Source organism: Homo sapiens, chromosome 1 (genome assembly GCF_000001405.40).
Source record: "Homo sapiens chromosome 1, GRCh38.p14 Primary Assembly".
Taxonomy (NCBI): domain Eukaryota; kingdom Metazoa; phylum Chordata; class Mammalia; order Primates; family Hominidae; genus Homo; species Homo sapiens.
Genome location: NC_000001.11, coordinates 65,581,966 through 65,596,201, shown reverse-complemented (window position 1 = coordinate 65,596,201; position 14,236 = coordinate 65,581,966). Strand labels below are relative to the sequence as shown.

General features: G+C 33.1%; 1 protein-coding gene across 6 annotated transcripts in view; it reads right to left on the bottom strand.

Moving 5' to 3' along the window:
* Window positions 1-14,236, bottom strand: part of LEPR (leptin receptor) — a 220,908-nt gene that overhangs the window by 45,358 nt on the left and 161,314 nt on the right. For all 6 annotated transcript variants that reach the window (NM_001003679.3, NM_001003680.3, NM_002303.6 and 3 more), the window contains one exon: window positions 3,337-3,545. In NM_001003679.3, coding sequence (NP_001003679.1) covers window positions 3,337-3,545 — 209 coding nt within the window. The remainder of the gene's footprint in view (window positions 1-3,336; window positions 3,546-14,236) is intronic.

Here is a 14,236-nt window from a genome sequence, read left to right as displayed (position 1 = left end):
AAATGAGATTATTTTGCTAAATGTGATTTCCCCTTGTAAGAATCCCACTTAACTTTATTAAACCCAGCATCCTAAAACTTATCTGAAGTCTCCCCTGAACCTCACCCACTTCAATTATTTTAGTGGTTAAAAAGGAAAAAAGCATTTTGCAGAACACTATTTGGAAATACACAAAACTACCCAAAATTCAGCTTGTCTATTAATTTTAGATCACTATAATCTAGACAAACCTACTCAAATAACTGACAGCATAAATATTCCCATGCAATAAATGCAGCATCAGCAGTCCCTGGCTTGTCATCAGAAGTAGGGATGAAGTTTCTCAGAATATTAAAAATGTTTAATGTTTAAATTTTGAAAGTTTAACACACATTTATACTTGGATTCCTGATATAGTTAAAATATAAAGATCGCCAAAGTGATAGAAAATCGATGCATTTTCTTGTTTGTTCATCTCTATATTAGCAAGGTTTTTACAATTAACAGGAATTATTCATATATATAGAAATTATCATTAAATTGAAACACTGATTTGAATTTTATTTTCAATAAATAAAGAGCATAAGATAATTTTCACATTCTATATTTTCAAGAATTTGGTCACAATTTTCCTCTTTTAGTCAAAATCAATGAGGTTTTACTTTATGAGACGTATTATAAATTTCAGTTACTTTAAAGCAGAGACAGCTAAACACAAAAGTCTGGAAACAGCAGGTGAAATTTACTGTGTTTCCATGACCAAAGAGAAAACAATATATACCAAAGAAAAGTAAAATTACAATATTACAAGCTATTGTACATTTCCTATCTGCATACTGTAAAAGTTATCAGTATCAAACTGGAGTTACTAGTGTGAAACCCTAACACAATGGAGTTGGGAGGCCATGAAGGAGTCCCCTTATGTATATGTATGCCTACATTGGAACAACGTAAAGAATTCCTCAAAACCACAGTATTCCATAAAAGCCGCTTGCACAGAGACACTTGCCTAACTACGGCTGTCTCCACCAATGAGCTAATGCCACCCCTGCAGCAAGCTCTTGTAACCAATAATCTTTGTTCAAAACAGCTTACATGGAGGTCTCCTATATGTCTTTTCAAGCTTCCCCTTTACTCCAATCCCCTGTGGATGTGTCATAGTCATTCCATAGCATGCATGTCTAGAACTGCAATCCCCTACTACTCCCAAATCAACTTTTTGCTTTATAGAGTTGGTATCTGTCATACATTTTAGGTTGACAATATTAATATGCATTAATATTAGAAATACAAAAATAAACCCAATGTCAATTTCCTGTTCACCTTACTCGGCCTTTCAGCAGCACTCCATAGATGCTTATTCCCTCCTTCTTGAAATATTTTTTTCACTTGGCTTCTACAACAACATACTCTTTTACTCCTTCATTCTTACTGATAACCCCTCAGTCTTTCTCTTCCTGAACTCTAAATAGGTGATCTCATACAATACTATAAACCTTGATACGCTAACAACTCCCAAATATATATATCTCCCCTAAACTTTAGACTCATATGTCCAACCTCTTATTCAACGTCTCTTAGGTTTCCAATAGACATCTCAAATACAATGTGTCCAAAATAGAGCTCTTGATTTCTGTACACACACCTAATCTTCCCTGAGTTTCCGTATCTCAGTATCTGGTGTCTCTGTTCACCTAGATGCTCAGGTCTAAATTTAAAGGTTATCCTTGATACCCCTCTGTCCTTCACACTCTACAACTCCATCCACTAGACAGTCCAGTCAGCACCATCTCACAAACAGATCCAAACCAAAACAGTTCTTTACTTCTCCACCCTGGCCTACAATATGCTCTGGACCAGGTAACTCTGACCTCATCCCTTAATACTCTCATATCTCTTTCACTCCTAGCACAAAGGTCTTCTGTTTTGTTCCTCAAATTACCAAGTTCATTGTATCTTAGGGATTTTGTGAATATTGTTCTTCCTGCTTGGAGCACCTTTTGCTCTGGATTTTTGCATGGATATCTCTTCTTCATTCAGCTCAAATGCTATGTCCTAAAGGAGATCTTCTTTGATCTACATAGTAGAAATAATAGTCCCTGACACTCCATCACACCAGTTTTATTTTTTTCATGGAACATATAATTTGGGGATATTATAATATATATTCAAATAGAAGGAAATACTTTTCCCCAAAATTATCTCTGCATAAAGACAAAATTAAGAAAGCTTTCAAGTTCTTTAAAATTCCACAGCACTTTCCCTTACCTACTTCATTTTGAAAAACAATGCACTCAATGTTGACTCTAAATGCTACTAAAAAATCATCAGGTAGAATTAGTTTTCAAAGAAAAGAAAATGATATTGAATAAAGATTTTGTAACTTTTTTCTCTATGGTATAACTTCACGATTGAATTGCTTGTATGCCATTGTAATTATGTTGTGGAGATCACAACTATATCCCTACAGGACAAATTATTTGAAAGTCTTCATGTTAAAATATGATGTCATACACAGTTTCAAAAAGTGCTATATCTCGAGTAACTTAGAAAGAAGTAAAGCTTGAGTTGTATGGAAAATTGTATCAGATACTTGGAAAAGCAGCTCTAGTGATGTCAAAACCAATGATGCAAAATCAGACATAAAGAGTTTGCATATAATTGTTTCAGGAAATATAAGTGGAGAAAAACTGCTAAATTATACATAATTAAATGAAATTAATAAATTAAATACATAGCGCTAACATTTTCCTGTATTATTCACATTTGTAATTGTATATTTAAATTGATAAAAAGAGATTTGGGGGATCTTTGCACAAAGAAAACAGAGTGTTGTCTATTATTTGAAGTTTTTTGTAATCATGTTTGTACAGTAAATTACTCATTTACTCTTTTATCATTGTCTCTGCCTACTATTGTTTGTCCCTGCTCTCTGAGGTGGGAACTATGTCTAATGTCCCACTCTTTTTCCAGCTCCTGGAGCAGTCTCTGACAAACATGAGCCTCTAAGAAATATTTATTGAAGGAATAAATTCAGGCAAGAAACATGCTACTATTTTCAAAAATAGTTATCTGAGATGTGAAAAAGTGATATCCAATCAATATACATCCATTACATAGATCCAGGATTGAAAGAAAACAGTTTTCAAAACAGAATTTAAGTGACAATGGCAGAGATATACATACCATTGTTAAATCATTCTAGAAGCCACTCTTAATACCCCCAGTACTACATCTACCATCATTACAGTGTTAAGCAAAGTGAGATAAGCTAGCAAATATTTTTGTAAGCAATTTTTAACCTTTATATATGACTGATGTTTAGACCTATTATCATCATTTTAGTGCATAACTTACCCATATTTATGGGCTGAACTGACATTAGAGGTGACTGGAAAATTACTCCACCAGATGTGATTTTCAAACACATAAGGAGAGTGTCGTTGAGTTTGGCTGTTGGCACAGGCACAAGACATTCACAACATTCATGAACACTGCAATTGCAGTGAACCATCTGAAAACTGCCTTTTTGGGGAACCAGAGGTGAATCTTCTAACACTTCAGGCCTATATTGAAAAATAAGAGCTAAATATTAAAACAGATATGAAAATACTGGATAGGCTTTTAAAGCAGGATACTAAATACTAATTGAAGTAAACTATTTGGGACACCCAGCTTAAAGGGTATCTGAAAAAAAAAAACCCTACATTAGAAAAACAAAGATAAAGATTACAGCAGGTTAATCATCAGGAATAACATAAGCAAAAAGATAATGACGTAAAAGTGAAGTACTAAAATAAAAGAAAAACTGCAATTCTAAAATCCTATACCCAGCGAAAACAGCTTTCAAAATAATGATGAAATAAAGGCTTTTTTTTTCAGACATACCAAAGCAAAAATAATTCGTCACCATCAGACTTGCACTATAAAAAATGCTAAAGGCAATCCATCAGGCAAAAAAAAAAAAAAAAAAATGACAGCAGATAGAAATGTGGTTTCACACAAAGAAATTAAATTTAACTAAAATGATAAATATTTATTGATTGTTTAAAGCAAAAATAATAGATCCGTGGTGTGGAGTTTACAACGTAGGTAAAAGTAAAATGTATGGCATTAGTACCAAGCTTGGGAGGGGAGAAATTTGTAATGTTCTTACACGAAGTGGTATGATATCACTTAGAGGTATACTATCTCTTGGACTATAATAAATTGAAGACAAATATTATAAATGCTAAAGCAACCACTAAAATAATAAAACAAGAAAATATAATTAATAAGCAACAAAGGATATTAAGTAGAATCATTTAAAAAATCAAAAAGAAGGCATAAAAAGAGGAAAGGGAAACAAATAATAAAATAGGATAAGAAAAGAAATAAAAAGATTTAAACCTAAACATATCAATTTTCACACTAAATGCAAACAGCCTTAACATCCCATTTAGAAGGCAAAGATTATCATGCTGGATTAAAAAGACCCAATTATAAACAACCTACAAGAAATCAATTTTAACTATAAACACAAATAAAAGGAAATGAACGGGAAAAGATATACCATTATAAGATTAGTCAAAAGAAAGTTGTAATGGTTATATTAACATCAGAGAAAGTAGATTTCAAAGCAGTGAATATTCCATGGGATAAAGATGATCATTTCATAATGAAAAAGGGATCAATTTACCAAGAGAACATAACAATCCAAAACATTTATGAACCCAATAACAGAGTTTCAAAATACATGAAGCAAAAGATTGAGAGAACCTTAAGGAGAAATAGACTAATCCACAATTATTGATTAATTTCATTTCATCATTGATGTAACATTCTTCTCCATTGATATAACAAATAGACAGAAATTAGTAAGGATAAAAACGTGAACAACGCATCAACTGACTTGACCTAATAGACATTTCAAGAACACTCCATGCAACAATAGCAGAATGCACATTCTTTGCAAAAGCATTTACCAAGGAAGACCATATTCTGGTCCATAAAACAAGTCTCAATAAATTTTAAAGGATTCCAGTCACACAAAAATAGGATTAATAACAGAAATCAATAACAGAAAGATATTTGGAAAGGCCCTAAATAGTTGGAAACTGAACACAACTAAATAATTCCTGGGTCAAAAAACATATCAAAAAAAATTAGAAGGATTTTTTAAGTACATGAAAATTAAAATACAACATATTCTTTAAGGTAGGATATTGCTTACAGCAATAATTCCAGGGAAATGTGTTTAACACTAAATATAGGCACTAACTGCCTATATGAGAAAAAAAGAAAAGTCTCAGATCAATGACCTCAGCTTCCGTCTTAACAAACTAGGAAAAAAAAAAAAGAGCAAATTCAACCAAACTTTAAAACAGATGAGAAATCATAAATATCAAATCAGAATATAATGAAATAGAATACAGAAAAATAATACACAAAGATCAAGAAAGCCAAAAGCTGGTTAAAAGATTTTAAAACATGAAAGAAGCTTTAACCAGACTGTATTAGTCCATTCTTATGCTGCTAGGAAGAAATACCCAAGACTGGGTAATTTATAAAGGGAAGAGGTTTAATTGATTCACAGTTCCTCAGGGCTGAGGAGGCCTCAGGAAACTTAGAATCATGGTGGAAGGACATGCAAACATGGTGGCAGCAAGAAGTACAGAGTGAATGTGGGGAAAAGCCCCTTATAAAACCATCAGCTCTCATGAGAACTCACTCATTATCATGGAGGTAACCGCCATAATAGTGAAGAACAGCATGGAGGTAACCACCCCCATGATTACCTCCCACTGGGTTCCTCCCATGACACTTGGGGATTATGGGAACTACAAGATGAGATTTAGGTGGGAACATGGCCAAACCATATCACAGACTGACCAGGAAAAACCACAGAAGTCACAAATTAAGAATATAAAAACTGAAAGCACGATATTGCTACACAGTCTACAGATATTAAAAGGATAATAAGGAAATATGAATAATTTTATGATACTGAATTTATATTGGATAACTGATGAAACAGAAATTATTTTAAAATATCATTTACAATAACATCAAAAATAGAAATACTTTGTAATGTATTTGACAAAAGATGTTTAGGATCTGCACATTGAAAACTATGAAATGCTGTTGACGGAAATTATTAAGACCTAACTAAAATGAGAGATGTACTGTGCTTATGGGTCAGAAGACTCAATATGGTTAATATGCCAGCTCTCCTCAAATTTATCTACAGATTTAATGCAATGCTACTCACAATCTCAACAGGCTATTTTACACAAATTGACAAGATGAATCTAAAAATTCATATGGAAATGCAAAGAATCTAGAATAGCCAAAACAACTTTGAAACTGAAGAACATATTTTGAAGAATAACAATACCTAACTTCAAAATGTATTATAAAGCTGCAATAATCAGGCCAATGAAGTATTCATGTAAAAACAAAAAAAAGTAAATGAATGGACCAGAATAGAGTCTAGAATAGACTAACACTTACATGGACAACTGATTTTCTACAAAGGCACAAAAGAAATTCTGTGGAAAAATGATAATCTTTCTGATAAATTGTGCTGGAACAATGGAATATCTATATGCAATAAAAGAAAAGAACTTTAATCCATACCTCACATCAGATACAAAAATTAATTCCAAATGAATCATAAATCTAAATGTAAAACCTAAAGCTATGAAACTTCTAGAAGAAAACATAAGTAAAAAATTTTGTGACCTTGTGTTAATTAAAAATTTCTTATATATGACACAAAAAGCATGATCCATAAAAGAACAAACTGATAAATTAGACTTTATCAAAATTGAAAAGTTGTTTTCTGAGAAGCACTATGAAAGATAACAAAAAGACAAACCATACACAGAGAACATATTTGCCAATTATCTATCTGATAAAAGATTTGTATACATAAGGTATCTACAATACTCAAAACTAAATAATAATAATACAAACAACCCAGTTAAAAAGATAGGCAAAATGTTACACAGTCACTTCACCATATAAATCATAGTTATGGCAAATAAGCATATGAAAGGATGCTCAACATCATTAGTCACTCAAGAAACACAAACTAAAATCACAATGAGATATCACTATCCACATACTAGAATGGTTAAAATTTTAAAAAAAGACTGACTACACCAAGTATTGGTGAAGATGTGGAGGAACTGGAACTCTTACACTGCTGATGGGAATGTAAAATGATACAATTTTGGAAAACAGTTTGGCACTTTCTTAAGTTGTTAAACACACACCTACCACATGATGTACCCATTCCATGCCCAGGCATTTATCCAAGAGACATGAAAACATATTTCAATTCTAACACTTGTGACAACTTCATTTGTAACAGTCAAAAACTATAAACAATTTAAATGCCTATCAACAGGTGAATGGATGAACAAATTGCAATATAACCATTTAGTGGAATGCTATTCAGCAATCAAAACGAATGAAATACTGATATAAACAACATTAATGAATCTCAAGATAATCATGTATATGAAAGCACAACAAAGTACTGTATGATTGCATTTATATAAAGTTCTAAAAAATGCTAGAGTAATAGTAGGCTATGTGCTAGAAATCAGATCAGCCATTCCCTGGGGACAGAGGTGGGGTGGGAGGAGGAAGTACCAATGGTAGGAGCATGAGGGTGGGATTACAAAGGAGCAGGAAGAAATTTTCTAATTGATGATATATTCACTTTCTTTATTATACTGATGGTTTTATGAGTGATTTCTCAGATCAATATTTGTCAAATTTATAATTTAAATATGTACAGCTTATTATATATCAACTATACCTCAATAAAACTATTTACAAAAAGAAAGAAAATCCAGGAAATTTTTGTAAGCAATACCTTGCCTATCATTTTAAACCTTCAAATAAGTAGGTCAATCTTAAAAAAAAAATTATAATTAGCTGGGTAGGGTTACCAAATACAGGGCATAAAAAATAATAGCATGCAACCAAGAACAGACAGTTGTTATTTCTTACTTACTAGATTTTTTATAAATCTGCCTCATCCTTTAGGGAGTCTAAGTCTTGGTGTAAATGAAGTGACTATAGAATAAGAGCAGTGGGGAGAAGAGTGTGGAGTAACAGTGTCTCTGTCTACCCATCTCACCTGTGCTGCCCCATTCTATCCATTAATATCTGCTACCTCATATCGAAACCACACTGTTTTTCAAAGAACCTGGGGATAGGGAGATAGTGCATGATCACTGCCTTCAGAAATCTTGCAGTCCTTGTAGAGGGAAAACACTGTAATTAACAAATGTAATAATTTAAAAATCAGTATGGAAAAGTGTTGCTTTAGAAGCTATAATAAACTAGCATATATATGAGCATCCAGATATAAAAAACATGAAAAATAGACCCTAGTCTTTCTCTGCATACCCCACTAATATGAAATGTTTTGAATTATGATATATTTTCAAGTAATAGAATTTATTATTACTTTACTACTAAAAAAAATCAACCCTGAAACAACATTTGCATGGCTTTAATGTGCCAAGGAATCTACTGGGAACTGTATAGGGGATATTAGTGTCAAAAGCACACTAAATTAACATTGAGATCTAAAATCAAGTACTTCTGTTTGCTTATTAGCCATAGGATCATGGACAAGTAAGTTTATATTTGTGAGCCTCAGGTTCCTGAATCAATAAAACCAAGACAATCCCCGAACCATCTATGTTTACAAGGGTGTGAATATCAAAGACAATAATCACATAAAAGTATTTTTGAGAACTGTAAAATGCTATCCACCCATAAAATATTGTTTTGAATTAGAGGTAGCCTGATTTAGCACTTTCGATTTTATCTAAATCTTTAAGCAAAGCAAACAAAATGTAATTTTTAAAAATATCAAGCCAGACCTTTTAGGTGTTTTTCAAATATTAAAATAAAAGCTTTTACAAAAAGTCTGTGAACAAATTGAATAAATTGTGGTGTTTTATGTCGGAAACATTCTTGCAAGGTATTATGCTTTGGCTGAAAAACTTCAGAATTTTAAAGCAAGAATATTTGCCTAAGTTGAGCACAAAACAACAAATATATTCTCTGCTAACATTTTAAATGATAGAAAATTTTAGTCATATTTTAAGACAAAAAGAAAAGTTAGAATCACATCATCTTACTTTAGATGGTCTTGCCAAAGCCATCCTTTTCTAAATACACTGAATATTTGTAAAAAAGGGCGAATTTAAAATCAGATTAACTCTATGGTTTCCTCATCCCTTCACTGATGTATTTTCTATTTATTCAATCTCTTTTTCATTTTGTTAATAATTGTAATACACATGCAAAACATCATATAGAGTATATATCCTTAATAATGACTATATAGTATCTACATTATAAAATATGCATTATAGTAATTCATTGTTTGTTGGTTTTTAAAAAAGCTTTCTGTAACCATGCCAACAGCTAACCCCATCATGACACTATCAGCATCAATCTAAAACTAATTTCAAAATGTTCTAAGCTTGGGATCAGCAAACTCTGGCCCACAGGCCAAATCCAGCCATCTGCCTGTTTTTGTACAGCCTGTGAGCTAAGAATGGTTACTTACATTTTCAATTAAAAAAAAAAAAGACTGTTTCATGATACATGAAATTCAAATTTCAGTGCCCATAAATGTAGTAACATTAATTCAATTTACATACTAACTATAATTGTTTTTCTGCAAGCACAGAGTTGAATAGCTGTGACCAAGACAGGATGGTCCACAAACCCCAAAATGTTTACTATTTGGCCCTTTAAGAAAAAAGAAAATTCTCCCTCCCCAGGTATAAGCCAAAAGTATTTTGTACTCCCTACTGGTGGGTATTTGATGGGCAAAGGACACAAAAATAGAGAAAGCACATTAAATATATCATCAAATTTCATTATTACAATTTACATGAAACACCTTTAGTAATATTATCTAATCCAGTTTTTCAAAGCACCCTTTGAGGGAACTAACATCATCTACTTTACAGGTAAGAAAACTGAGATTTGGAGAGAAGGTAGACCTGGAACTCAACTGAAGTCTTGTGCATCATGTTCAATATTCATTTCATTACACCCAACGTGCCTTATTGTCACAAGATAAATTTCACTGTTATCATCACCATTTTATTTAGAGATCAATAAAGACCATAGTAACCATGACTAAAAAATAATTATAACCTGAATCATGTCAATATTTTTATAAATGGAAAATTAGAGAATTATATAATTACTTCAAATGATTCTTTTCTTTAAGGAAAAACATTAGCTATTTCCTGTATTTGTGAGAGGAGTTTCCCAAGTTTGTGTGAAACCTGGAATCCACCAACCTTGTTACATGCCAAAGTCAGTATAAGAAGTTAAGAACTCTGTTTTTACTAATATCAAAACATACTCTAACAAATTTGATAATTTTAAAGTATGAGAATAAAAGGATCATCAAATTTTAAAAGTAACAGGAGATATACTTGGCTTAAAACAAGCAAACATTAAGAATTTCTGGAATTCTTGAAAATTTTATATGCAACAAAATATTTTATGCCTTACCAGTATACATACACATATACAAACTCAGTGCCACTATTTATTTAATACCTCTACATGTAAATAAACTTTACTTGAAAGTGAAAATAGTATGAAAACAGTTGTCAAATGAACTTAAAATTTTGTCTCTTTACCATTTTTGCCTTTTTGGTAATATTTTTACACAAAAGGTAGAGATATAATTCTTTAGTATTGGAATTTCATTTTTGGTAGCCATACATGGTTTAGAAAGAAAGCACATTCTGTCCTCTGACTTTTGGTCCAATTTTTCTTCCCAGAAAATGTGAATATATTAAAGCTTCTCCAAGCAAATTCTATGCTAAATTATTACAGGAATAACACCAAATTGGTGCCACCTAATTTTCTGATTGTAATGTAAACTGACAGCAAAATAGTGAACAAACCAATGAAGTGGAATTAGAAAATTTAGTATTAGTTTTGTAAATCATTTAATCAAGTCACTTATTTTAAATTTCAGATTGGTAATCTATAAAAACATTACCTCAAAATTTTCTCTTGCCAATCCAAAATAATTTGAGACTGAGTTATTGTCCCAGACTAGACTCATCATAAAAATCACCTGGAGAACTTGTGAAAAAATAGATTCCTAGACCCCATGAGGAATTCAGAAGGTCCAGAGCTAAGCAATCTATGTTCTGAATAAATGCAAGCAATCTAGTTCCACCCAGACCTATTGAATGCCAAGTAAGTAGTGCTGACCTAGATAAATCTTATCAAGGAGGAAAGTTTAAGAAGCATTTTGTAAAATGCAAAGTACTCTTCAGATGTAAGATATCACCAAATAAATGGAAAATCAACAAAGAGAAGAGAAAGTGGGAAAAAAAGAAGAATGCAAACTGAAACAAACAGAACTTAATGTCTACCAAGTTAATAATATAACCACCTGAAGGGAGAGGGAAGACCTATCCTATTTAACTTTGGAACATAATATTTGACCATGTACCCATTAGCCTTAGTAAAGGCAAAATGAGTGTAAACAATATTGCACTTCAGTTAGTACGCTTGTTTTCATTTTTCACAGCAGTATGGGATAGCAATGCTAAAACTGCTTTGTGTGTATTCTAGCACTGAGCAAATAAGTAACACACTGTGGGAAAGGGAAGCCAGGTTTCTTTCTCACTGCTGGAGAAGAAAGTTACAAAACAGAAAGAAAAGAAGTTTAGAACGGACTGTGCAGTTTTGGCCTAGAATGGGACATATTAGTATGAACACACACCCTTTAATACATGTACATACAGAGATATATAGATATATAGATTTGTGTATATTATGTACACACATTGTGTATATATTGTGTGCACTAACTAGCTCTGCACACAGAGAGGGCTAGAAACAATAACAACGAACAACTATCCTCCAGACACTGGTTTGTAAATACCATTCTTCAACAAAAGGAACGATGGCTCCTTGGAGAAATGGCTAATTCCAGTGTTATATCAGGAAAAGTATAAGATCAACCTGGTACATCTTATACTGCTAGAAAGAAAGACGATTTCAGTAATAAAATAAATGATGTAACTTTTGTAGCCCACAAACTAAAATAAGAATCCATGAGTCCATCCTGATAGAAAGGAAAGAAGGGAAGGAGAATGAAAAGTGCACCCCTTACAGAGCCTAGCACTATGGGCTGCACACCATAAATACTATTTTATTGAATAACATTATTCTAAATGCCCAAATTAATATTTAGCATTTTTGTTTACAAAAAATGCATTTTGCATCTTTAAAAATGTCACTGGGTTCTTTTTTACATCTTCAATTTCCTGTCTCATTATATTCATATTTTCCTTTACATTCTTGAACATGTAGAGCATATTAATGATAGCTGTCTTTGTCTACCAATTCTATCATCTCTGTCATTTCCGGGTCTGTTTCTATTGACTATTTTTTCTTTTTCTCTTGGTTATGGGTCACATTTTCCTATCTTTTCATATATCTAGCATGTGTTTACTGGCTGCCAGACACTGTGATTATTTCATTTTTGAATATTACATTGTTTTATTTTGCCTTGAAGAGTGTTGGATTTTGTTCTGAAAGTCAGTTAAGTTACTTGAGCACTAATTTGAATCTTTTAGGGCATCCTTTAAGCATTTTGGGGAATAGTATAGTGTAGCCTTGACTCTAAGGCTAATTTGGCCCCACCTTTAAAGTATAGCTCTTCTGGAGTTCCTATGAAATGTCACTGATACCCATTAAGGTCTCTCCAATCTCGTTTGTGGGAACTTGAACGATTCCCAGACCTCTATGAATTCTGTGAATTGTTTAGCTTATAGCTCCCTGATAACTGTTCTCTTACTAGAAGTTTTTCTTACCCAACATTGTGGCCAGATTGATATTCAGCCAAAGAGTTAAAGTGGCCCCACTGTAAGTTTTTCTGTATGCTCCTGCTTTCAAAGTACTCTGCCCCATGAACTTGAGCCCCTTACCCTCTCTGAACTCTTATCTCTGCAAGATTGTTGGGCTCAGCTTGAGTTCCTCAGCTCTGTGCCATGTTCTGGGAATTTTCTACAGTTCAGAAAGCCTAAGTACTAGGAGTACTCATTTTGTTTCCTTCTCTTAGGAATCACAGTTCTGTCTGTCTTTGTCCAATGTCTGAAAATAATTATTTCCTACATTTTTTCCAGTTTTCTAGTTGTTTATCACAGGAGAGTAATCCAGACCCTCTTATTCCCTCGTGGCCAGAGTCACTTGTTGACTTTTTTATTAACTTTTGAAGATATAATGTATTCATACAATTCAAAACTTTGTTTTCTTTAAAAGAAGTAGTGAAATGGGGTGGTTACTTGACAGAAATGTGTAACAGAGAAAATTTATTTTTTTAAATGGGAGTTATTATATCGTGTCTATTAGCTGAGAGAGAAACATGATGGTGCAGAAAATAGAGGATAATGGCAAGAAAGTCCTTGAGTTGACAATAAGAGATGGGACTCAGAACACGTAACAAAGGGTTTGCCTTAGATCAGAACTCAAAGAATTTATTCACAATAAAAGAAGAGAGGAAAAGTGCATGGGCACTGATACAGGCAGCCTGGTAGATTTGGGTGAGAAAAGCAATCATTAGAGAAACTCCACCTGCTTCTGTTGTCTCAGTGAAAATAAAAAGCAAGATCATCAGTGAGTCTCTCTGGCTCACTCTCAGGAAAGCCAGCTGCAATGGTGCAGGCTGTCCTATGGGGAGATCCACATAACAAGGAACTGAAGGAGGTCTCCAGCCGATAGCCAGGGAGGAACTGAGGCCCTCAGTCCAACATCCCATGAAGAACTTGGAACCCCAAGAATTTATCTCAAAACTAGCTCCTCCTGAAGTTGAACCTTGAAATGACTGCAGTCCTGGTGGCTGACACCTTCAGTGCAGTATTTGTAAGAGACCCTGAAGCAGATACTCCTTTCCCATTCCACCCCACACTAAGCTGCAGCTGAATTCCTTAAAAACAGAAATTGTGAGATAATAAATGATTACTGTTTTAAGCCACTAAGTTTTGGGTTAATTTATTATATGACATTAGATCACTAATGCAGATACTGGAACTTGAAAGTGGGGTGCTGCCATAATGAAAACCTGAAAATGTGTGAGTGGCTTTGGAACCAGCGGACAGACAGAGGCTAGAAGGATTTGGAGAAGCATGGTGAAGAAAACCTAAATTGCCTCGAACAGGCTGTTAGTAGAAATCTGGCGGACTTCAAAGACTCT